General features: G+C 41.2%; 1 long non-coding RNA gene across 4 annotated transcripts in view; it reads right to left on the bottom strand.

The window, feature by feature from the left end:
• Nucleotides 1-25,970, bottom strand: part of LOC105370504 (uncharacterized) — a 402,142-nt gene extending 376,172 nt beyond the window's left edge. For all 4 annotated transcript variants that reach the window (XR_943876.3, XR_001750975.3, XR_007064173.1 and 1 more), the window contains exon 1: nt 1-25,970. This exon is cut by the window's left edge and continues 3,680 nt beyond it. This is a non-coding gene — a long non-coding RNA (uncharacterized LOC105370504).

Here is a 25,970-nt window from a genome sequence, read left to right as displayed (position 1 = left end):
AAAGAATATTATGCATTTCGCAATTTTGGAGGAGAAGGTGAGGTTAATTTATGCCCACTCAATATTTTAAGAAAACACATAGATGTGTGTTATTCCCAATCATATTCAAGTTTGCATATACTGCCTGTATGCTTTGAATTAATAAGAGATCACTAATTATCTGGTGGAAGCTTCCAGTACTAAAGTCAAAGCACCTAAGGGGAACTTGAAAGCTTTTGGGATATTCAACCTTCCTTTGGATATTGGACATGTTTCTTAATATCTCAGTGATTAGAGAGATTGTATTTTTTCATGGCAAAAACTGAGCAAATAAAAACAATGAAAACAGAAAAACCAAACCACTCAGGATAAATGTTTTCAAAATTTCAGGATGTTTGATCCCACAATGAATAATAACCACCATCATATACTGATCATCTATCAAATGCCAGATGCATTACGTGGGTCACTTCATTTAATCACCATGATAACCCATGAGAATATTCTTATTATCCCTAAAATGTGAAATCTCTTAGTTCTGATACCTTTCCCATTTAACATTCCACATTCTTATAATACTAAAAGGCTCATGGACCCTGCTTTCCCTCATAGGATTTCTGCATAGATAACAGAGGTCTGGAATTTACATCTAGATCTCTTCCGAAGTTGATAAATACATGCAGAATAGAAAGACCATCTTCAACTAAATTAAGGGACAGCTTGCACAGGCCTCTTACAGACCTGCTTATAACTCTCAACACAGATTTTTTTTTTTTTTTTTTTTTTTTTGAGACTGAGTCTCCCTCTGTCTCTTCCCGGCTGGAGTGCAGTGGTGGGATCTCGGTTCACTGCAGCCTCCACCTCCCAGGTTCAAGTGATTCTCCTGTCTCAGCCTCCCAGGTAGCTGGGACTACAGGCATGCACCACCACACCCAGCTAATTTTGTATTTTTAGTAGAGATGAGGTTTCACCATGTTAGCCAGGCTGGTCTTGAACTCCTGACCTCAGGTGATCCACCCACCTCGCCCTCCGAAAGTGCTGGGATTACAGGCATAAGCCACCGCGCCCGGCCTCAACACAGACTTTTTAATAAATAGTTTTCTCTATAGCACAATGGAATTTGATTTCTGAACAACAGGAATGCCTTTCTGTGGGAACTGCACACATCATTAGAAGTGCCCACCTTCCTCTTTTAAGCTAGTACTGCCCTTCATTTTGCCTGAGCTCAGGAAAATGGCAGACGGGGGTCCCCTACCAAGTGATCACTGACCCAAGGGCTATTCATCCCTGAGGGAGTTAGCGTTTTCTGACCTAGCCTGGGACACAAAGATGAGCCAATTTTCCTCTCAAGATTTTGAACTTATTTGAATATGGAAAGATTGAAGCTATTAGTAGGAGGAGATGAAGCAAAATGTTTATGAGTAATAGAGAGCCTAGAGGGACCAGTAGGGCCCTGAAAACCCCTGATAATGTAGCACAATGAAGGAAAGGGCTTCAGCATAAAGGAGAAATCCAAAGTCTCAAAAGCAGCTTGGGACCTGGGCTCCTATCAATGTCCTGACCACCGGGCTGCAGGCTGAGGGGTCCTGGGCCCCAGCAGAGTGACTTCTGTGAGGCACCAAAAGCAGGAGACACCAGTTCAAATGAGCACTAGGCAGAACTCTTGCTTTAGTCAGCATCACGCTACCCAATTATTTGAGCTCAATAAGAGTCACAAATAAATCTCTGTGTAGTATGAGGATGCTCATTACTTCCTAATCTGGATTTACATAGCTATTTGAACTAGCTACACACAACTATTTAATCAATGTGCATTGATACTTCTACTAAAGCTAGTCAGTAAATAAAATTATAGGCTATGAAAGTTTTAGCCAAAGGTCATCTACCTGTAAATATTTTACATAAATGCCCAGTGATTCTTTGGCCAAGAAAATAGGGTCACCTAATGTACCTACAACATGTGTACAATATAACCTCCTAATTGAAATACATCTGAATGTCTATGAGGAGTTTTAGATTTCAAACCCCATTTAAAAATATATCTACTAAAAGCAAGTGATAGGGTTCTATCTATCTTTGCTCTTACTCTCTTGGATACTCACAAATCTGTTGGGCCTTAGATCTTTATTGCTGGGAACATAAGGAGTGCCTTTTGAGTTCTCATAAGGAGCTGTTAGCTTTGCAACTAGAAGAAGAAAAAGTTCCATAGCATCTACTATGCCCCTAGTCCTAGAAATTTCATTTAGTTATTCAAAAGACATAAGTTGAGGTTCTACTCTGTGCTTCCTTTATGGAGCAAGGTGACATATAAGAGCAGATGTGAGTTTTATAAGCTATCCTAGGTTTTCAAAACACCTACATGAAATATATTCCACCCCAAAGGTATACTACAATCTCTATAAGAGAGAGGCCTGAGTGTGTGCATTTTCATAACAATTTTCTAGAGGATTCTGATGTTCTTACTCTCTTTCCCAGCCCCACTCTCCCTTGCTAGTTAGAGCTATGATGCAGACAATAGGGATTCAATCATAAAATTATGTGGTTTATCTTGAGAATGGAAAATAAAAAACATGGTTAACGAAACATCGTTAAAAATAATACATCTTTTTATAGTCTTTATCATGCTCATTTTGGTATGCTAAGGATATGCATAGTTTAGGTATGTTAAAGTGAACTAAGTATGGCCTGAGAAGGACTCTGTACTTCTATATTTGAGTCCTTGTGGACTAACTGCAACCTATATTGAAAACCTAACTAGGAGTATGCACCTGTAATAATACCTGAGTCTTGGCCAATCCCAGCGGTCGTACTTCAACCATTCATACACTGCTGAGTGTTCAAACTGTGTTCAAATAAGGCAAAAGCCAACCTGTAACCAATCCAGCTGTTCTGTACCTCACTTCTGATTTCTATATGTCATTTCCAGTTTTTTGTCTATAAATCTTCTTCCACCACGTGGCTGTGCTAGAGTCGCTGCCAATCTGCCATAATTCTGGGGGCTGCCCGATTTGCGAATCATTCATTGCTCAATTAAACTCCTTTAAATTTAATTCAGTTGAAGTTTTTCTTTTATCAAGTACTAATTTGGCTGCTGCAAAAGAGAGTTCCAAAATATAGTAACATAGAAAAAAGTTTTGTCTCTCACATAAAAGTCCTGAAGAGTGGGCCGGGTGCGGTGGCTCACACCAGTAATCCCAGCACTTTGGGAGGCCGAGGCGGGCTGATCATGAGGTCAGGGGATCGAGACCATCCTGGCTAACATGGTGAAACCCCGTCTCTACTAAAAATACAAAAAATTAGCCGGGCATGGTGGCATGAGCCTGTAGTCCCAGCTACTCAGTAGGCTGAGGCAGGAGAATCGCTTGAACCCAGGAAGCAGAGGTTACAGTGAGCCGAGATCGCACCACTACACTCCAGTCTGGGCGACAAAGCGAGACTCTGTCTCAAAAAAAAAAAAAAAAAAATCCTGAAAAGTGGCCGAGGTTTGTTGGCTGACCCCATAATTATCACAGACCTACGTTCCTCCCATTTTGCTACTTTGACATCCTCTGCATGAGGCTTTCATGGTGACTGCTCTAGTCTCTCCCATTACCTCTGCAGTCCAGCCAGTGGCAAGGGGCCCAGGGGAGGAGAGGACATGGTCCTTTTCCATAAGAACCCAACCCAGAAGTTGGATTGAGCCACCCATCACAACCATTTACCTCCCTGGTCAGAGCATGGTCATGTTATCAAGCCTAACTAACATACAGGCAGCATATGTCCCATTAGAATTTGTATTATTGGGATAAAATGGGAGAGGAGAGACACTGGATACAATTAGCAATTTGTGTCACACATTACTAATAGAAGTCTGTAAGTGAATTGAAGTCTGCCTCAGTTTTAACAAGGAGCAAAAGAGTGCAACACTCAGTCTGCTCCTTAGGATTGTTTTTGATATGAACTGTCCTAGTTTGAGTACCTTGGGAAACAGACTCTGAGGTGGAGATTTGTGTGCAGAAGGTTTGTTGGGAAGTGTTTCTCAGGAATAGCGCCTGTGAGGGAACAAAGCTGGACTGGGCAGGGGGAGGAGTTGAAGTGTGGTGCAGTCCCAGAGGCCTCTGCTGATCCCATGGAGAGCTCTGGAGCTAGGATGGCCTTTTTTGTGATGGCCCTAAATTGAAGCAAGGCACCAGATCTTTGTACCCCCCTGCATTAACCTGTTAGAGTATCCAGACTGCCCTTGAGGAGGAGGTTTAATCCTGGGTATGGTGGCTACCTTAGGACAGCATTTCTCAACCTCAGCACTTTTGACATTCTGGAATGGATAATTATTGTAGGATACTATGCATTGCAGGATTTTAGGAGCATGCCTGAGCTCTACTCACTCGATGTTAGTAGCATGGGCACCCCCCTCAGCTGTAACAACCAAAAATGACCCTAGACATTGCCAAATATCCACTGTGGGGCAAAATCACCACCACTAGCAATCAGTGCCTTAGGCCAAGGGCAGTGCTTACAGATAAATTCAGCTGTAAACCATCACAGCCCATCTTCCCAACAGTTGGGAGAGTAAGTGCCTCCGTCCTAAAAGGGGCATCTAGGACCGTGACTACAAGATCACACAATTAAGGACAACGCTGGAGCTTCTGCCTCCCCATCCGGTGCTCTTTTCTCAGGAAAGTTATTTATAATTTACACAGTTCAAAAGAAAGAATAACTGATCTGGCCAGATAATCCTATAAGCTTAAGAAGGAGCCTGAGGAAAAGTCCCAGAGACTCTGAACTACGATTAAAAACTCATCAGCCAAGAGGAAATTCAAAGACAGCACAAGGACCTGGGTTTCCAGAATAGATGCACGAAAAGAGAATGGGGAATAAGAGAAGACCTGTTAGCATTCAGCTGCATTCCTGTGGATTAGAAAGCTCCAGTGCTGACGCTTCATTACATTCTTCTTGCCAGTCCTTTTCTGAAAGTAGTGCTCTTCTAGGCCCATAGGTAGCCTAACCTTTCACCCACATCTCAGACAAAGCTCTGCAGCCCCATCATTCACTTCCCTCCACTCCCTCCACCTTGCTTCACAACCAGCCCTTCCGGCCTCTTTGGACCTACTCGGTGCCTGCCTTCAGTTTCTCAGGCCCCCTGAGCAATCCTGTTTCCTGGAGGCTCTCAGGGCCTGAAGCCACATTCCTCCAGGCAATCTTGGGATAAGAGACCACATAATTGGGAGGAGGGGGATGAGAACATGGAGGTTCGTGCTTTCCTTCCTTTGCCTGAGAAGCAGCTGGTCTCCTATCGCTAACTAGATATTGAATGGACCAGCCTGACATTAAAAACCATGATGAGATCAAAATGACCACAGCAGGACTTTTTTTTTTTTAATTCAGAGCAAAAATACATGAGAGAGGGGAGAAAAAAAGAAGAAAACTGGTTAGAGTGAAACATTCCCCAAGAGTCACCTTGTTGGCTTTTTTCCAAGAATGAGGAAGGGGTGGTCAAGGCTACATGTTTAATGATCTGTCCCATCCAAGGATCCTGCTGCTTCTCAGGAACTTGGAGGCCAGATGCTACATCTTAGACATGGACCTATTCCTTCCAAACCCTGTCGCCAACTGGTTCCTTCAAACCACTGTGTCTAGGCCAAATTCGGTATCAGCAGACACTGGTGAAAATACGACTAGACAATTCACAAGCAAGAAGGCTATGTTGCTCTTTGTTAATTATACACACCCTCCTTCAGACATTTTCTTTAATATGCCATTTATACTATAGCTAAATTCGACTGAGCACTTAGTGTGTATCTCCTCTAAGGCTATGACCTTGACATGTGTTATCTTTTCAATCACATAAACCAAAAGTCTCACCCCCACCCCCGTTTTACAGATGAGGAAACTGAGGCACAGAGTCCAAGGTCACTTCCCAGAGGATGATGGCCATGGAGCCCAAACCCAGGAAATGTGGCTCCAGAGCCCTCTTGTCACCGTGAGGTCCACCCCCCTTGGTGCCCCTCCTCCTGGCCACACTTCTCTCCTACTGAGGAGAATGGAGGTGAACAGGGTAGTTCACCTTTGTGAGGGCACAAGCATAAAAACTAGCCTTAACCTCCCAGCAAGGGTCAGACACAAAAACTAACCACAGGAACACTTTCTTGCCAATCAAATCTTGCCAAACACCAAGCAATTTTGTGCATCAGACTCCGAGGGCAACAAGCCAGGTGAGATAATCTACAAAATTTGCTTTTAAAACGGCTGGAGAGGAAGCCGAAGGGGTCTGCTCTCCCTGAATATCCCACAGGGTGATCCAGCGCATGCGAATTTTCCCAATTTGAATGATTCTTTTTGAAATAGAAATGTAAAACTACCTTCAGTTTGCTCTTTTGCCAGGCCAAAATTACTTCCTTTCTATAAACACTCTAAAAATATTGACTGCCCCATAACCAAGTTAGTATTTGCTTTAATTTATGGTATTCCAAGTTGAGAGAGTACTGAAGTCAGAGTCAGAAAATCCAACTTTGACAAATGCTGGCAGTTTGGACCTGAGCTACGCATTTCCCTTCACTGGGCCTTAGCACTTTCATCCATAAGTGGCGACGATGCCGTGTGCAAAATGAAAAGCCACATGGCGCAGTAGTGGCGAGCTCAGGCTCAGCAGTCAGCCTCATGCTTGGTTCCTGACTTTATCCCTTCCTAGAGTGTGACACTAAACTTGTTATTTAACATCCCTGAGTCTCGATTTTCTCATTTTAAACTAGGGATAATTATAGTGCCAATCTGGGGGGTTGTCATAATTAAAGAAGATGTACATGTAAAGCTCTTAACTCAGAGCCCAGAACATGGCACACAGGCAACTTCCATTGAATTATAAAGGTCTATGGAAATCAAAGTTATATTCTGCCTGTTAGTTTTCCCTCTCAAATGCTACCACTCGATATCACCTTGCTTTTCTTTGAAATAATTAAATATTTAAATGCTAGTTTTCCAAGAAAAAAAATTAGTTTACTTTTGCTGAAATTTCTAAAATGTGCCTTATATCCATCTGAAAAAGAGCTCTTTCTAACTTGTGTCTTTCACAACCAAATTTTCTGTTGGAAAGGAAACCAAAATAAACCTTTATAATTTTAATGGCTCAAGGTAATTTTCCTTATTAGTGAGGGTAGTTCTAGCTGCTGTAAGAGGTAAACCCAGAAATCTCAGTGACTTCGTATGTTTTCTTTATGTGAACTTCTTTTTTTTTTTTTTTTTTTTTGAGACATAGTCTCACTCTGTCACCCAGGCTAGAATGCAGTGGCATTATCTTGACTCACTGCAATCTCCACCTCCCTGGTTCAAGCAATTCTTATGCCTCAGCCTCCCAAGTACCTGCGATTACAGGCATGTACCACCACACTTGGCTAATTTTTGTATTTTTAGCAGAGACGGGGTTTCACCATGTTGGCCAGGCTGGTTTCAAACTCCTGACCTCAGGTGATCTGCCCACCTCAGCCTCCCAAAGTGCTGGGATTACAGGCATGAGCCACCGTGCCCAACCTATGTGAGCTTATTTTATGTATGAAACAAAACAGATGTTCCTATTCAGTGTGCATGACTGTGTGTGAAGTAGGAGGGAGTAGGCACAAAGGCTTTTTACCACATTAACTCAAAAGTGACATGTTACTTCCATTCATGTTCCACTCATTGGACATATGGCCCCACTCCAGTGCAAGAGGGGTCTAGGAAATGTAGCTGGCCCCAGGCTGAGAAGCCACTCCTAGCACCTGTGGACAGCTACCCATCCCTGCCTCACCCTCTGAATAGAAGTTACGGTCATGTATTCAGATGTTTCATTTATTTGCCGTCTGTCAGATAGCTTTTCTAAACAAATAAGTAGTAGTCCTAGAGTTCAACTCTCCCAAATAAGATAACCTTGAACCCGAACAATTTGAGATCTCAAGTTGAATCTCACTGCTCATTTCACTGTCTTCCTGTGCTAATCCATGGAGAAAAGACCCTGTGTAAATTCAAAGTTTGTCATTAATTACTATTCAACATGTCTACATCCTAATAACTTCATGTCTTATTTAAGAAAAACACATAAAACACTGGGAATGGTGTCAGGTGGGTAATAAACGCTCAATATCAAGTAGTTATTATATGTCCTGTAGTCCCAGGTGAAAATATGAAGTGAAAGAGGCTATAGGAGAGTGAAGAGTAGGAGCCGATGGAACCATAACCCTCTGAGACCACATTGTTTCAAATGCCTAACCCTCCTGTGGAGTGACTCACTCTTCCCGACTTGGCATGACCCTCCCAGCTGTGATCTAGATCGCACACCCCATCCCTTCTTCACTGACATGGTCAGAGACACACAGAAGCCCTACGCTCTACTCTTCCCTCTGTACAACAGTGCTATGGGTTTTGCTGGCAGATAGTAAAATTTAGAAATGTTCATATATTCTGTATTTTTCTAGTGGGCTATATAATAAATTCTTAACTTATTCCCTCTGCCTCATAAGCTTTTCCAAGGGAAAATTTGGTTGATTTTTTTTCCTTTTATGTCTTAGTACATGACTACATGGAACAGCCTTTGGGGTACAAATCATTATTTTTCTTGTTGCCATGGTGTTTATCATTTCTTCACAAACACTCTGAACAACAACATCCAGGAAAACTACATTTTGTCCCCTCCCTCTTAAAGCCTTTACCGTATTTCTTTATCCACTATTTCTTTCATTCAAGATGATTCAACCATTAAAATTAAAACCTTTAAGGAAAATATCAAAGGGGGATAATAGCTCATATTCAGTGAAACTAGATTGGTAAGGGGGCTCAGAGTTGCCAAGAAACAAACATAACAGGAAGTTAACTTATTTACCACTTTTATTTATTCTCAGAAGTGGAATTTAAGTTTCAGGTGATTCATCTACTAAGACCTCTCCCAACAACAGTGCCTACTTTCTTAAGAGATTAAACCTATATTATTTTATTGGTTAATTCAAGAACAAATCCCTAAGATGTCAATCCAGAACAATTTTTCCCTTCAATTTGTTTTACATCTTCCATTTAGATTTGGACTGCTGATTTGATGGGGCAGGAGAACTGAGTTTTCTTCATTTCAGGGCCTATTCACCTCTCTCATTGCTTTTTACTATAGTTAGGCATTCCCAATGTGCTAGGGACTTTCTGGGTCATTTGTGACAAAATTCCTTCTCTCTGTGACCTTGAAAATAATAAGGAAATGTCCATAGAGTTTGTCTAGACACTCATGGTAAGGATAGCATTCTTTAGAAATCACCACAGGACACGAACAGAAGCTACAGGATCCAAGGAAGTCCCAGTCCCTGGACAGACGGTTTCAGATGTTGCACATGGAAACTGCCATTGTAAGAACAAGCAGAAATGTAACCAAGATAGTCATCCATATTAGGAAAAGTTCCCTGGTATGTAAAACTGATATTTTAGTCATCTTAAGATGTCAAATTCACCTCGAAAACTGTAAGGCAATATAAAACAAAACACCCACCAGCACCATAGGAATACGCCGCATACTGTTAGAATTATATCAGCTCATTTGGATGTCAAGAACTACACATCATTGTCACAGAGAACTGCAAGAAATTTTCTTAAATTGGAAAAAGATACAGAATCCTCATTACCACAGGTACCACAACAATCTGCAAATTGAGGGCTATGTTTGCCAGACATGCATTCCCTGAAAGAATGATCTCTTTGACAATGGATCATTCTCTCCTAAGCAATTTGCTGAATCGACTAAAACCTGGCCAAAAGAATTCTAACTGGTGCCTCCACAGAACAACATGGCGTCCATATGGCACTCACGAACCCAAGGCAGGGCCTAGAATATGGGGCTGTTTAGCAATGTGTTGGGGTCCAAATGTATACACTATGATTAAAATGTACTTTTATTTTCTGTTATCAGTCTCAAGCTGTTTTCTGCAATTTCATTCCCTGATTCCTTGGGAAGGGAGATGGAGTAGTGGTGGTGGTGGAGGAAAGGAGATGGCAAAGAAAGATTTTCAAATCACCCATTAATGATAACTTAATCTCTCACTTAAAAGAATCTCTGGTCAACTGAATCTCATGGTTCAATAGCTTTTCAAAGCCTAAACTCCTAACAGAGTGGATTCTTCATGCCTTAGGAGGACTGCCCTCTCCTTGTCCCAACCACATGAAGATGATATCTTGGTGCAGAGCTAAGCTTAAATATCCTCACATAATGGATAAAAGAACCCCGATATACAGGTTGTTCTCTGCTCAAGGTTTCTTAGCCAGAATATTTCTGGGCCTTGGTCTCTGTCGACACTCTTGTCACTGTGCAGGTCACCTCAGCTGCCATGATAGGAGGCCTGTACTCTCAGCATGGGTGGGCAATGAATGGCAATTGCTTCTAGGGGGCTCATAGGCCCCCTCTCAGCTCTCCCTGGTGCCATGGCCCCTCTGAGTTATGGCTGCCACTCCCACTCAGTCCCCACCCTGGGAAGACCACTTATGAAGTCCCTTCTTTCTTTGTGTCAGTCATCTGGTTGGCAAGGTTACCAGCAAGCACTTTCAGCCACTTCCCACATGCATCATGGAGGAGGCCAGGACACAGTGAGAGCATCTGCATTCCTTAGGTGACATGCATAAGCATTAGAGAACAAGGGGCTCCATCTCAGGCCTCTTTCTGCCTGAGCATTTCACGCTGCCGTTACCACCCTACTGCACTTCCATATGAAGATGCAAGGAGAACCCTGAATGCAGTCTCCTCATAGTTATCAATGGGAATCAGGGGATGGGTAGCCTCTGCTTCTAGCTATCCCCTCAACTATCTGATGTATCTGCTTTCTTTCCAACACCACCTGGCCCCTACACACACAGGCCTAGATATAAGGCAACATCTTCACCCCATTCTTGATCCTGTTTCTTCTCCTCCTTCCTCCTATAGAAGAAAGCTTTCCACTTCTTCCTGCTTGGTAGACACATCTCTTACATGATATCAACTGTCTCCTCTACACTTTGACACATAGTCCACCAAGCTGGGCCCTTAATATTTTAAGGGGGTATCTGGAATTTTTAAAAAACACTTGGCTGTCTTGATCAAACCAAGATTTAAAGATGTGTGGTACTGCTGTGAATGCAAACCTTCTTATATTGGAAGTCAATGGTTGAATACGGACTTGTTTTTCCTCTTTCCATTACTGCTTCAGCGATCTGAATTTTCCCCAAGGTAATGGATGCCTTTGGTTGAACAGGGGTAAGATTGAACACAAATAAAGTGAAAAAGAAAAACTCTTTAAAATATTGTAAAAACCAACACCCTTTCTTCTCTTCCCATCCTTTCTTCCAATTCTTTCTTTCATTGAAGAAAGAATGCAAATATGTCAGCATCCAAGGAAGAGGCAGTGAGGAGTGCAGCAGCTTACCCAGGAGCCAGGGAGCAAAACAGTGAGCAAGAGAGGGCAGAAGGAGGAGAATGAAGTATGTGGAGACGGGTAACACTAAGCAGATTAGGTAATTCATTGATCAAATAAATGAATATATTGAGGGTATTATGAACCAGGTTTCTTACTGTCTGAGGAAGAATTTTGAAATGTGAAAAAGGTAAAGGCTAAAATGAACCCTGGAGTGTAAGATTGAAATTATAGGTGTGAACTCATGAATTTTTATAGATGGGTAGACAAACAGATACTCACGAATTTTTATTGATAGGTAGATACAATAACAGATTGATAGATGGAGAAACTGTCATAGATGTGTGTGAGGGATGGCTTTTTCTGATGGATCAGTTTGGCTAAGCTAAACTACAGTCCCCAGAAGTCCCTTTCTACTATGTTTCTGATTAGGGTGGGCTACAAGGGCTATTCTCTCGTGAGAACTGAAGGACAGAAAGGAAGCAGAGTCGTGTTGAAGCATATACATACCTTTTCCCAGTTATTCAAACACTAATCTAAGTGCTAAGTGCTGCTGTGAAGGAATTTTGCAGACGTGATTAAAGTCCTTAATCAGTCGGCTTTAGTCAAATGGGAGATTCTACTTGTTGGGCCTGACTTAACCAGCTGAAAGGTGTCTAAAAGCAGGCTTAGTATATCACTAAGTGAAAGAAACCCATCTGAAAAGGCTACATAGTCTATGATTACGACTGTATGACATTCTGAAAAAGGGAAAACTATGGAGACACTGAAAGGATCAGTGGTTGCCCAGGATTGAGAGGGAGAGAGGCATAAATAGAACACAGAGGATTTTAAGACAGTGAAACTGTTCTGTATGATACTACAATGATGGATATGTGTCATTATACATTTGCGCAAACCCATAGAATGTACAACACCAAGATTGAACCCTAATATAAACTATGGTATTTGGGTGACAAAGATGTGTCAATGTACATTTATCAACTGCAACAAATGTAGCACTCTGGTGCAGGATGTCAATAGCGAGAAAGTTTGTGCATATATGGAGATGGAGACATATGGGAATCACAGTACTTTCCTCTCAGTTTTGCTGTGAACCTAAAACTGCTCTAAAAAATAATGTCTCTTAATTTAAAAAAAAAAAAAGAGGGCCTAAGCCTACCCTGATCAAACAGCATTGTTCTGCAATTCCTCTCCCTTTCCCCCGATCTTCCTTCCTGACGGCTCTCTGTGTGGACAAAAGGCTTCAGTTTGTGCCCACAGGTGTCCAGTTCCCAACAATTGCATAAGCCAATTCCCTGTGTGTGTGTGTGTGTGTGTGTGTGTGTGTGTGTAATATACTGCTTCAGCTTCTCTGTTCAACTCTAATAGAATATATGTTTGTGTGTGAGTATATATTTGTATGTATGTGTATGTATGTCTACACAGAGAGCTTGTCCTATCCACTGAGAGTGTCTAGGAGCAGTAACACCCCAATAGTAATAAGCACATCTAGCATCCCATCCAGACCTATGTTTTTAAATACCATCTTCCACTGCTAGGAACAAGGACTTCTGGAGAAATGGCTGCTTACAGGCTCGGGGCAGGGAAAGTATAAGGTAAGCCTAGAATGTGTTGTTATGCTAGGAAGTAGGAAATGCTTAAGGAATGATAGGGACCTGTCAAAGGGACACAGAAGCCAGGTTTAGGGAGTTCACACTGGCCAAATCTAGGACAATTTGTGCATCAAAATAAATTAGCATGTCTAATTATAATTCATGAAGCAAAATAGAAAACCATAACATTGCACTGATAGAAATAAATGAGTAAATAAAGAAATGAGGTAGAAAGGAAACCATTTATTTACAGTATAATGCCAATTAATCAATGTAGATCAAATGATGGGAATAGATAATCTCCATCTGGCACCATTTGGTAGTTGATATAGACAGGAGTCACCAATGGAAGCTGGACACAGATTTGCATAGAGACAGTATATTATTTATAATATTGGGCAATTCTGCCACAAAATATTCATCAAATGCAGAGGGAAAATGCTGACTTCTCCAGATGAGCACAGAATCATTTCTGTGGTACTCCTGCTAAGAATGCATGACCTGAGTCTGGTCATGTGGAAACAGCAAACAGACTCAGGTTGAGGGACATGCTGCATATATAGTGAAGGCCTGTCATCTTTAAGACAGAAGAACTATTCCAGATCGATGGAGAGTGATGGGACATGACAACTGTATTCAATGTGTGTTCCTGGATAAAGTCCTGGACCAGAAAATGAAAAGACACATTGTTAGGACAGTTTGTAAATTTTGGATGTGTCTGTGCCTCAGACAGCCACATTGCATCAATGTTGATGCAATCAGGATTTGTGAGGGTTGTATAATGGTTAAGAAGGAGAATATCCTTATTTTTAATAGGTATACACTGTAGTGTTTAAGAGTTATGAGCCATCCTGTCAAGACAAAATAAATAGGTAAGTAGATAAAGAAAATGTGAGGAACCTTGGGTATCGAGGATCTGGGAGTTCTCTATGCAGTTCTTGCAACTTTTCAATAGGTTTGAAATTATTTCAAAATTTTAAAACACTAAAAACTTAAATGCAATGTTTTCATTACAGTGATTCAAAAGTGAAAAACTAAAGGCATGTATACTAAAGTAGTTCAAAGTAAATTCACACATTATTTTTGTAGGGAGTAACTAAATGAGAAACATAGAGCTTGGATGAGTTCTTCAAAGAAAAACAGGATATCATCCTTTTCATTATGTCATAAAGTATGATGTTGACAGTGAAATGACCTATAGCACTGTATAAATCAAATGTTGCTTCTGCAGACTTTAAAAAGTATGCTAATAAACAGAGTGAATTAGTTTTCTATCACTACGTAGCAAATTACCGCAAGTTCATTGGTTTAAAACAATGCACATTTATTATCTCATAGTTTCGGTGGGTGAGGGATCTAGGCACAGTGTAACTAGGTTCTCTGCTCAGGATTTCACAAGGCTGGATTCAAAATGTGACTGGGTCTGCATTCTCATGTGGAGCAGGAAGGTCTCTCTCAAGCTCATTCAGGCTGTTGGCACTGAGTTCCCTGACAATGGGCCAGGGCACCCTCAGATCCCAGATGTTGCTGAATCCTCTAGGAGGCCCTTTCAGTCCTCACCCTGTAGACCTTTCATAGGCAGTTCACATGCCTCCCCCTGCAGCCCATCAGGAAAAGCTCTCTGATGCTTTATCTGTTTTTAAGTGTCCACCTGATTAGGTCGAACCCACACAGATTAAGAAACAGGGCTTTCTCCTGCAAAGGTCATGGCCTTTCTCCTCATTCTTTCTGCTAGGGTTTGTCTGTGGTAACAAATCCACCAGACAAATGTCCAAGCAGCAGATTAGGGCAACGTGTAAAGAAATTTCATGACAAAACACTGAACACACTCAGTAATGTACAAGTATACAGATCAGCCACAGTTTGTCTTCCAATGTGGATGACAGCCCCTCCTTTGCCCCCCTGGGTATTGGTAAGGTGGGATTCTTTCTGGCTTTCTCTAGGGCTTATTCTTGAGCTTGGACTTGACCAGGCCTCTTCCATCCTGAGCCACGATCATGCCATGTGTGTTGCTAAGGTAACACTAAATGCTATAACAGATAAACTCTGAAAACTTTTGATTAACTCAAAGTCATCTGATTAGAAACCTAATTACATGGGTGATATCCCATTATGTCCACAGGTATTCCCCACACACAAGGGGAGGGCATTATACAAGACGTGAGTCATCAGATGTCATCTTAGAATTCTGCCTTACACACAGAATAAGCTACCCATACTGCTTGGACCTCCCAGATCATGAGTCCCACTCTGTGTCAATGTGACTCATTAGAAAAAATCCAAAACAGTATCATTTTCTTGTTCAATCATGACACATCATAGCATTTGAGGGAACTACACTTTTGATTAACTCTTGAATAGACCTCAATACTTTTTACTTTCTTCCTGGTCATGTAAGTCAAAAGAGCTGACTATAATTATTTTCTAAAAAGACTAAAAAGGTTTTCCTTCCTCAGCATCCTTGATCAGAGTCTATAAACCTAAATCTGCATTAATACTGACCTGGAGAAAAGATGATAAATGAGAGAAATGGGTTTAAAACAATTTTTTTTCTACCAAGCACCTACAATCACTGACTCTCACCTCCCAGCCCAGTTGAAGGTTCTGGTTAAGACTGTGATGCAGGACTGGCATCTGTAAAAATGACACTTGCCTTCGGGTTGGGTCAAATGATAAGAGTTGGCTTTTCTGACGTACATGCCTCAGGAGTCTTGAGTCAGGGCTTCACAGACTCACTTCCTGATTCTGAGATCTCCCAAGACCCTGACCACTGCTCTTGGAATGCTCTCCCCCAACTCTAATGGACTAAGCTTTGACCCTGTCGGCGGGAGCCCATGGTCATGAGTCCCAAGCCATTGCTTTCTTCCCACCTGGCTTTATGGCTTGGCCATTAACACTAGTATCACATAAACCCAAAGAGAGAACAGAAAGATGGAAAAGATATGAGGTAGAGTGATAAGAAGATGAAAACGAAGTAACAATGGAGTCTGCCAACAATACCAATCTTCCCAGCCATGCCGCAGTTCTTTGGCACAGTTTCAGGCATTTCTGGTCTTACAACTCACTCCCCACATCCTTGCCACCATCCCCAAATGAAGGCTAGGAAACGCCACCCACTCCCACCTAGAGAACAACTTCAGTTTGTTCTGCTACATAGATCAGACTACCCAAGAGGATAATTAGACACTTGGCTCTATGAAGTGGCCTGTACTTTGAGTGTTTTTTTGTTTTTTCCCTCCAGAAAATAATGAGGAGAGAACAACTGTTACGAATAACAAAAGAAAAAAAAGCAAGTCATAACTTTGGATGGCTTGAACATCCAGTCACTGAGTTTTCCTTGAGGTAATCTGACCTAGCTAGATCCTAGACATGGAATCTGCCCACTCAACCCTTTTAAAAGTTGCTTAGTTTTTAAGAAAATCTGAACTGTCAACCAACAGAGTAGAAAGATTTGCAGTGCCCTTAAGTCAACCAAGGGAGATCTAAAAATCAAAATCTCCCTGACATTAGTAACTAGCAATAAATGTTCAAACACTCAAGGAAATTGGGCTTTCTCCCACAAAGGTCATGTTCTTTTTTCCTCACTAAGTTCTTCTGGGGCTTATCTATAGTGATAGATCTACCAGATAAACATTCAGTCACCAGTTTAGGACACAGTATAGAGAAATTTCATGACAAAACACTAATTACAATGAGTAATGTACAAGTACACAGATCAACTACGGTTTATCTTTCAATATGAGCCACAGCCCCTTCCTGGGCCATTCTGGTCCCTAGTAAGGTAATATTCCTCCTGGCTGATTTCTCCAGGGTTTATTCTTGAGCTCAGACTTAACCAGGCTACTGCAATCCTAAGCCACGATGATGCTATTTGCGTTATTAAGGTAACACTAATTGCTATGACAGATAAACTCAGAAATTTTGTTCCATGCAATTACTCAGGAACCAGACTGTCAAAGGCTCTGCTGACTTCAGCACCTGGTTTCCAAGGTCACCCTAACCACTGACATATAGCCAGCAGAGGGGGAATGAGGATGGCAGTCACCTAGGAAGCATTGATGGGCCAGGCCTAGAAGTGATGTACATGACTTCAACTGGCATTCCATTGGCCAGAACTCAGTAACCTGGTCCCTCCTGAATGCAAAGGTCATTGGGAAATGCAGTCCCCATTTCAGTAGCAACTTCCCAGAAACAGTACTCTATGGAAGAGAAGCATGCGTCATGTGTGGACAGCAATCTAGATCTGCTACAATGAAGACAGTGGTAGCTGGTGGTAGCAACCACCATTTACTGTGTTCTAGGCCCCTGATAAGTGCTGGACAAATAGCCTCTCCCCGAATCCTCAAAATAACCCTATGAAATACATTTTATTATCCCACTTTTAAAGACTAGGAGGCTGAGGCTCAGAGAAGAATAAGTTAGTTGCCCAAAATCACCTGAGTAGCCAGGAAGAAACAAAGGCTAAAATCCCAGACTATCTAACCATAAAGCCCACGTTCTCCAGCACTACTCCACACTGCTTCCGTTACGTTTGGCTATAGTGACTTGATTAGTTTTTTTCCTCTTTGAGTTGTTTATCTTACTGCCAGAGAAGTTTCTACTCACCACAGAACTTGGAACTCCCTACAAGTTTGAGAATTGTCTAGGGTCTATAAAATTCCTTTGTAGCTTGAAGCCAATTCTTTCTTTCCGTGAAATGATCCCTGGATCTCCCACTCATCAAAACCTGCTTAAACTGGGCTCTCTTATTTCTTGGATGCACAGCCCCAGGTCAGCTCCCCGGGGCTGCTCCTCACACCCAAGTCTTTCTTAATGAACTTGCCTGAGTCATTGAATGTATTTTTTGTTAAACTTAGAGCCTGTCCAAAAAGAAGGTTTCTCAAAAATGTCCTGCCACTTTCCACAGGGCTCTCTCAAACTCTGAGATGTCACAAATCTCTCCTACTCACTCCCTAAAACTCTGTTTTAAGGCTCTGTCTTACGATCTATTACTTTTCTTTCTCCCTTGAGAAATAACACCTTCAAAACCTAACACTTATGTTTAAAATTGCTCGTACTTAGGTCCACGTGACCTTCACGCTGAAGAGGCTAGGGTGAAATTGGGGAAAAAATTAGTAACACTGGGGGCTGCAAATGTCTTCAGTTTGGCAGATTTGTTTTTTATTGTGAGGCAATTCAACCAGCCAATGTGAAGGACTCTTTTACATAAATTCAATGGAAGTTTCAGTCTCCCTTTTTGAAGTATAAAAAAATGTGTAAATGACCCATTTCAGATCTTTGGTTGTTTATTTCAATAACAAAAGCCTGATTCCTTTTCCTCTCAGAACCCTAAACCATATTTTCAGGGAAATTCTCAGATCCTTGCCTGAGAACTTGGAACAGTCCAAGTGACAGAGCTTTTGTTTTCGGCTTTTTCATTGACCTACAAAATCCTATTTTACTTTGGTTCTCCTTTTTCAATCCTTTTAATTGGGAGTGACTTTTTCTTTTCCATGGTAACATTTAATATGTCATGTCTCCCTCTCTTCTAGTGAGCTCACAATTGAATGTCAAGTGACCTTGACACTAGAAAGCCTCACCATACTGCTTTCTTCTTCAAGAATCTTCATTAACTTACCCAAATGTGACCATATAATGGAGAGAGGGAGAGGGACAGAAAGAGAAGAAGAGAGAGAGAGAGAGTGTGTGTGTGTATGTCCATTTTTGGCAACCCAGAGTCTACTTCCCAGAGCCAGCTGTAGCGCCTACTATGTCCCCATAGTAATCACACCCCCAAGGAATGTTCCAGCCAGAATCAGAATCAGCCTTGATCTCTGAGTCAGCCCTACAAAGTTCTCACCTTTTGTGGAGGAGTGGAGGAGCTCTGGGCCAATGTGACTCACAAAAAAACTCTTATTTCTCTGTGCCTAGAGGCCAAAATTACCATTGCCATTCTAAGCAGTCAATAAAAGGCATAGGGGACATTCAGTTAAATGTGGCAGATTGAATGTGTATATTTACCTTCACTGTTTGCCAAATACCACAAAAATTACAGAAAGGAGCAAATAAAATGCATAAATCCACAAGGAAGAGAACAATAAGGAAAATTAGAATAATTAAGTTTTGGAAGCTGAAAAGCAAATGGACTACTGACTTAGCAGACGTGAAAAAAATAAAACCTAAGCTAGCAGTGGGAAAAACACATTTATCTGGACAAAGAACTAAGTCCAGTCTCTTAGCACCTCTTAAAGAAGGAGTGCAGACAAGCCTGAAAACAAATGGATTTTTTTGAAAGTCAAAACCAAGCAGTATTTCCATTATCTGCTGCTGCATAAAACCTACCCCAAAACTTAGTGGTTGAAAACAACCATTTTGTTTCGCACACAATTTTATGGGTTAGAATTAAGGAAGGGCTCAGCTGGCCAGATCATCTCTGATCCTGGTGGCATCAGCTGGGGCAGCTGAAGCAGGAGAATCCATTTCCAATATGGCCTTAGCATTCATGTTCTGGCAACTCAGTGATCCTTGGTGCCTCTCTCTTTCTCTTCGCTCCTCTCTTCACTCTCCCAGTGAAGTCTCATTCTCCAGAGCCTCTCCCATGGCTTGGGCTTCTCACAGCAGAAGCCTCAGGATAGTTGTACTTCTTACTGGCTTCCAAGAAGCAGAAAGGAGAAGCTGCCAGACTAGTTAAAGACCAAACCGGGAAGTGGCCCAGCATCATTTCCACTGTACTCTGTTGGTAGAAGTCCCAGGGTCCACCAGATTTGAGAGAGTGGAGAAATAGACTCCGCATCTTAATGAGAGAGGACACAGTCACATTGGAAGAAGAGCACATAGGATAAGAGATGCTGTTGTGGCCATTGTTGAAAAATGCAATGAACTACAGTCCACCTTTTAACCACAATACTTCACATCCTTCCCAGTGCAAAATATATTCATCCCACACCCAAGACGGCAAAGTCTCATCCCACTATGGCATCAGCTCAAATCCAGGATCTCAGCATGTACATTAGATCCAGGTGCAGATTCCTCAGGAACAGCTTCAGGCACAATTTCCCAGGTACAGCTCCTTAAACTCAGTTCTCTGGAGTTGAAGATCTGTGAACTATAGACATAAGTCATCTGTCCCCCACAAATACCCAACATACAACACACAGCATATAGAATGAGAAATATTGTTCTGGCCATTTTAGAAAAGACCATATGCCACAGGCAGTTAGACCACTCCCCTACAGTCAGGGAACCATCTCTCATTCACCCAAGGAAAAAATGAGAGATTCTCTAGAGAGGGTCTCTGGATTCAGGGACAGCAGGCTAAGTTGAAGGTAGAAATGCTGAATGGAAAATAAAAAAACAAGCAAAGTTTATAGGATGAATAGTGAAACCCCTAACTCCCATTTCCTCATTACTTGTCCCCAGAATGCTAGCAGCTACGCTCATATCCCGAGGAGAGAAAACCTCTCTGAAAAAACTGACCAGCCTAAAGAAAAGAAGCCTATAGGTACTGTCATTTCGAGGACCTCAATGAGGAAGCCCATTTCAATTACTCCACAGGTCAGGCTACCTCCCAACAAGGCTTGCCCACACCACACAGAACTAACATCCAGCCCTCTTTTTTTTCAATCATCAAGCTTTTGAATAAAAGCTAAGATCCATGAACCATCATATACTTAAGGAAAGCTACAAACATGGAAGCATGAGATTGAAAAATTTTAGGGCTCTGAAACCACATACATACTCCATGGAGCCAATGCAAACTTTGCATTCATCCAAAGAAAAGATGCTGTTTTTTTTTAAAGTTATTTTTCCTCAAAGCTATAAGTTTAAAAACTAAAATAACTCATGATATGTAAAAATAACTTTTCAGCAGCAAGCATTTTTAGCTCTTTGAGCTATTATTATTATCTTCATATTTCTAATATGCCTATATCAATATTTCTGAATGTTTTCAGGTTAGATATCATCTATTCACCTTCTAAAATAAAAGGATTTAGCTCTTTTATGTGAGATGAGGCATGTGTGTCATAGGAAACTACATCATCAGAATGTTTGCAGTAAAGAATAGTTTGTTCACTTAATGCTACAAGGCACTGGTATAACAGGACTTTTTAATTCAACATAGAGCAGATGCTCCTGGGGAAGTTAACAGAGCTGCTTTACCTCAGTTTCAGTTTGCTCTCAATAATGTAGGTAGAAATAGAGGGGCTTTCTGAAAGATAAAAGAAACAGGGACCCCAATCCCTTTACTCTGAGGTTTAAATTTGTTAAAATCTCTCTGAGACTAGGGTGCCCCTTACTGAAGCTAGATGGCAGTAAAGACCACCAAGCCTCCTGAAAAAAGATCCTCTATGAGAGCAGGAAATTAAACCAGGTTTAAAAAGACAGGAAACTAACACTGTGAATCAGAAGTCTCTATAGGCTCCTAGAGCTCATCCCTGCTCACTACATACCTCACCTGGTGGCAGCACAATTTCATCCTGAGGGTGGAGGGTGGAAGGAGGATGAGGACTGAAAAACTACCTATCAGGTACTATGCTCATTACCTGGGTGATGAAATAATCTGTACACCCAATGCCCCATGACACATAATTTACCAATATAACAAACTTGCACATGTAGCCTGAACCTAAAATAAAAGTTAAAAATAACCATACTCCCAATACTATAATTAATGACAGTTCATCTACATTGATTAAGTATAAAATACATGATTCACTCATTAGTGATAGTATAGCTACATTGACTATTAAGTATAAAATACAATTCATTCGTTGTAATTTTGTCTTTTCAATAAATTCGAAGTTTTCACAATCCGTGTTAAAAGAATCCTTTCAAATGTTACTAAAATGGAAACTCCTGAGGATAGACAGACTGAATTGCCAGCTGGTACCATCTTCTTGGTGCCTGGAAACAATCTCACGATCCTTAAGTCTACCAATTATCCGAATGTCAAATGCCTAAGTGGCCTTGAGAATGATATCTTGAATATTGCCATACATATAAGCTGAGTATGTTTTGTTATAAGCAACGGGAACCAACTCTGGCTAACTTAAAGCCAAAGGGGATTTGTGAGAGGGATGTGGCAAGAGTTCACAGAACTGTAAGAAGAGATGAACAATCAGGCTTCAGGAAGAACATGAACAGCCTCGGCTGCACCTGCAGCAGTGTGTGGGTGCCCCTCTGAGATACTTCAGGCAGATCACTGTTCCATTCATTCTCTACCTAAAGGGAGACTCCAGATTCCAGAGGGGTTGGGGCTAGGAATCCACACATGGCCAAGGAGAGGCCGTGCAGGAAGACAGGAGAGTGGGAGGGTTATTAGCAGAAAAGGAGAGAAGAGGTTTTGGCAGGAAGAAACAAGAGCCCCTGAACCAGGCAGCCCAAGTCTCATTCTTTCCAATTGCCTAGCTTCGCTTTTAAGATTCTAGATGTCATCCCCAAGTAGAGAGTAAACCAATGTTAAATGGCTGGCATGTGAACTGTGCAATAGTTTTTTTTTTTTATATACTTTAAGTTTTACAGTACATGTGCACAACGTGCAGGTTTGTTACATGTGTATACATGTGACATGTTGGTGTGCTGCACCCATTAACTCATCATTTACATTAGGTGTATCTCCTAAAGCTATCCCTCCCCGCTCCCCCCACCCGACAACAGGCCCTGGTGTGTGATGTTCCCCTTCCTGTGTCCATGGGTTCTCATTGTTCAATTCCCACCTCTGAGTGAGAACATGCAGTGTTTGGTTTTTTGTCCTTGCGATAGTTTGCTGAGAATGATGGTTTCCAGCTTCATCCTCATGTCCCTAAAAAAGACATGAACTCATCACTTTTTATGGCTGCATAGTATTCCATGGTGTATATGTGCCACGTTTTCTTAATCCAGTCTATCGTTGTTGGACATTTGGGTTGGATCCAAGTCTTTGCTATTGTGAATAGTGCCGCTATAAACATACGTGTGTATGCATGCGTCTTTATAGCAGCATGATTTATAATCCTTTGGGTATATACCCAGTAAAGGGATGGCGGGGTCAAATGGTATTTCTAGTTCTAGATCCCTGAGGAATTGCCACACTGACTTCCCAATGTTTGAACTAGTTTACAGTCCCACCAACAGTGTAAAAGTGTTCCTATTTCTCCACATCCTCTCCAGCACCTGTTGTTTCCTGACTTTTTAATGATTGCCATTCTAACTGGTGTGAGATGGTATCTCATTGTGGTTTTGATTTGCATTTCTCTGATGGCCAGTGATGATAAGCATTTTTTCATGTGTCTTTTGGCTCCATAAATGTCTTCTTTTGAGAAGTGTCTGTTCATATCCTTCGCCCACTTGTTGATGGGGTTGTTTGTTTTTTTCTTGTAAATTTGTTTGAGTTCATTGTAGATTCTGGATATTAGCCCTTTGTCAGATGAGTAGGTTGCAAAAACGTTCTCCCATTCTCTAGGTTGCCTGTTCACTCGGATGGTAGTTTCTTTTGCTGTGCAGAAGCTCTTTAGTTTAATTAGATCCCATTTGTCAATTTTGGCTTTTGTTGCCACTGCTTTTGGTGTTTTAGACATGAAGTCCTTGCCCATGCCTATGTCCTGAATGGTATTGCCTAGGTTTTCTTCTAGGGTTTTTATGGTTTTAGGTCTAACATTTAAGTCTTTAATCCATCTTGAATTAATCTTCGTATAAGGTGTAAGGAAGGGATCCAGTTTCAGCTTTCTACATATGGCTAGCCAGTTTTCCCAGCACCAATTATTAAATAGGGAATCCTTTCCCCATTGCTTGTTTTTGTCACGTTCGTCAAAGACCAGATAGTTGTAGATATGTGGCATTATTACTGAGGGCTCTGTTCTGTTCCATTGGTCTATATCTCTGTTTTGGTACCAGTACTATGCTGTTTTGGTTACTGTAGCCTTGTAGTATAGTTTGAAGTCAGGTAGCGTGATGCCTCCAGCTTTGTTCTTTTTGCTTAGGATTGTTTTGGCTATGTGAGCTCCTTTTTGGTGCCATATGAACTTTAAAGTAGTTTTTTCCAATTCTGTGAAGAAAGTCATTGGTAGCTTGATGGGGATGGCATGGAATCTATAAATTACCTTGGGCAGTATGGCCATTTTCACAATATTGATTCTTTCTACCCATGAGCATGGACTGTTCTTCCATTTGTTTGTATCCTCTTTTATTTCATTGAGCAGTGGTTTGTAGTTCTCCTTGAAGAGGTCCTTCACATCCCTTGTAAGTTGGATTCCTAGGTATTTTATTCTCTTTGTAGTGATTGTGAATGGGACTTCACTCATGATTTGGCTCTCTGTTTGTTATCGGTGTATAAGAATGCTTCTGATTTTTGTACATTGATTTTGTATCCCGAGACTTTGCTGAAGTTGCTTATCGGCTTAAGGAGATTTTGGGCTGAGATGATGGGGTTTTCTAGATATACAATCATGTCATCTGCAAACAGGGACAATTTGACTTCCTCTTTTCCTAATTGAATACCCTTTATTTCCTTCTCCTGCCTGATTGCCCTGGCCAGAACTTCCAACACTATGTTGAATAGGAGTGGTGAGAGAGGGCATCCCTGCCTTCTGCCAGTTTTCAAAGGGAATGCTTCCAGTTTTTGCCCATTCAGTATCATATTGGCTGTGGATTTGTCATAGATACCTCTGATTATTTTGAGATACATCCCATCAATACCTAGTTTATTGAGAGTTTTTAGCATGAAGCATTGCTGAATTTTGGCAAAGGCCTTTTCTGCATCTATTGAGATAATAATGTGGTTTTTGTCTTTGGTTCTGTTTATATGTTGGATTACATTTATTGATTTGCATATGTTGAACCAGCCTTGCACCCCAGGGGTGAAGCCCACTTGATCATGGTGGATAAGCTTTTTGATGTGCTGCTGGATTTGGTTTGCCAGTATTTTATTGAGGATTTTTGCATCGATGTTCATCAAAGATATTGGTCTAAAATTCTCTTTTTTTTTGTTGTGTCTCTGCCAGGCTTTGGTATCAGGATGATGCTGGCCTCATAAAATGAGTTAGGGAGGATTCCCTGTTTTTCTATTGATTGGAATAGTTTCAGAAGGAATGGTACCAGTTCCTCCTTGTACCTCTGGTAGAATTCGCCTGTGAATCCATCTGGTCCTGGACTTTTTTTGGTTGGTAAGCTATTGATTATTGCCTCAATTTCAGATCCTGTTATTGGTCTATTCAGAGATTCAACTTCTTCCTGGTTTAGTCTTGGGAGGATGTATGTGTCGAGGAATTTATCCCTTTCTTCTAGATTTTCTAGTTTATTTGCGTAGAGATGTTTGTAGTATTCTCTGATGGTAGTTTGCATTTCTGTGGGATCGGTGGTGATATCCCCTTCATCATTTTTCATTGCGTCTATTTGATTCTTCTCTCTTTTCTTCTTTATTAGTCTTGCTAGCGGTCTATCAATTTTGTTGATCTTTTCAAAAAAACCAACTCCTGGATTCATTAATTTTTTAAGGGTTTTTTGTGTCTCTATTTCCTTCAGTTCTGCTCTGATCTTAGTTATTTCTTGCCTTCTGCTAGCTTTTGAATGTGTTTGCTCTTGCTGTTCTAGTTCTTTTACTTGTGATGTTAGGGTGTCAATTTTAGATCTTTTCTGCTTTCTCTTGTGGGGATTTAGTGCTATAAATTTCCCTCTACACACTGCTTTGAATGCGTCCCAGAGATTCTGGTATGTTGTGTCTTTGTTCTCGTTGGTTTCAAAGAATATCTTTATTTATGCCTTCACTTCATTATTTACCCAGTAGTCATTCAGGAGCAGGTTGTTCAGTTACCATGTAGTTGAGCGGTTTTGAGTGAGTTTCTTAATCCTGAGTTCTAGTTTGATTGCACTGTGGTCTGAGAGACAGTTTGCTATAATTTCTGTTCTTTTACATTTGCTGAGGAGTGCTTTACTTACAACTATGTGGTCAGTTTTGGAGTAGGTGTGGTGTGGTGCTGAAAAGAATGTATATTCTGTTGATTTGGGGTGGAGAGTTCTGTAGATGTCTATTAGGTCTGCTTGGTGCAGAGCTGAGTTCAATTCCTGGATATCCCTGTTA

Source organism: Homo sapiens, chromosome 14 (assembly GCF_000001405.40).
Source record: "Homo sapiens chromosome 14, GRCh38.p14 Primary Assembly".
Taxonomy (NCBI): Eukaryota; Metazoa; Chordata; class Mammalia; order Primates; family Hominidae; genus Homo; species Homo sapiens.
Note: the sequence above shows the minus strand (reverse complement) of the source record. Positions and strands in the feature narration are given on the sequence as shown.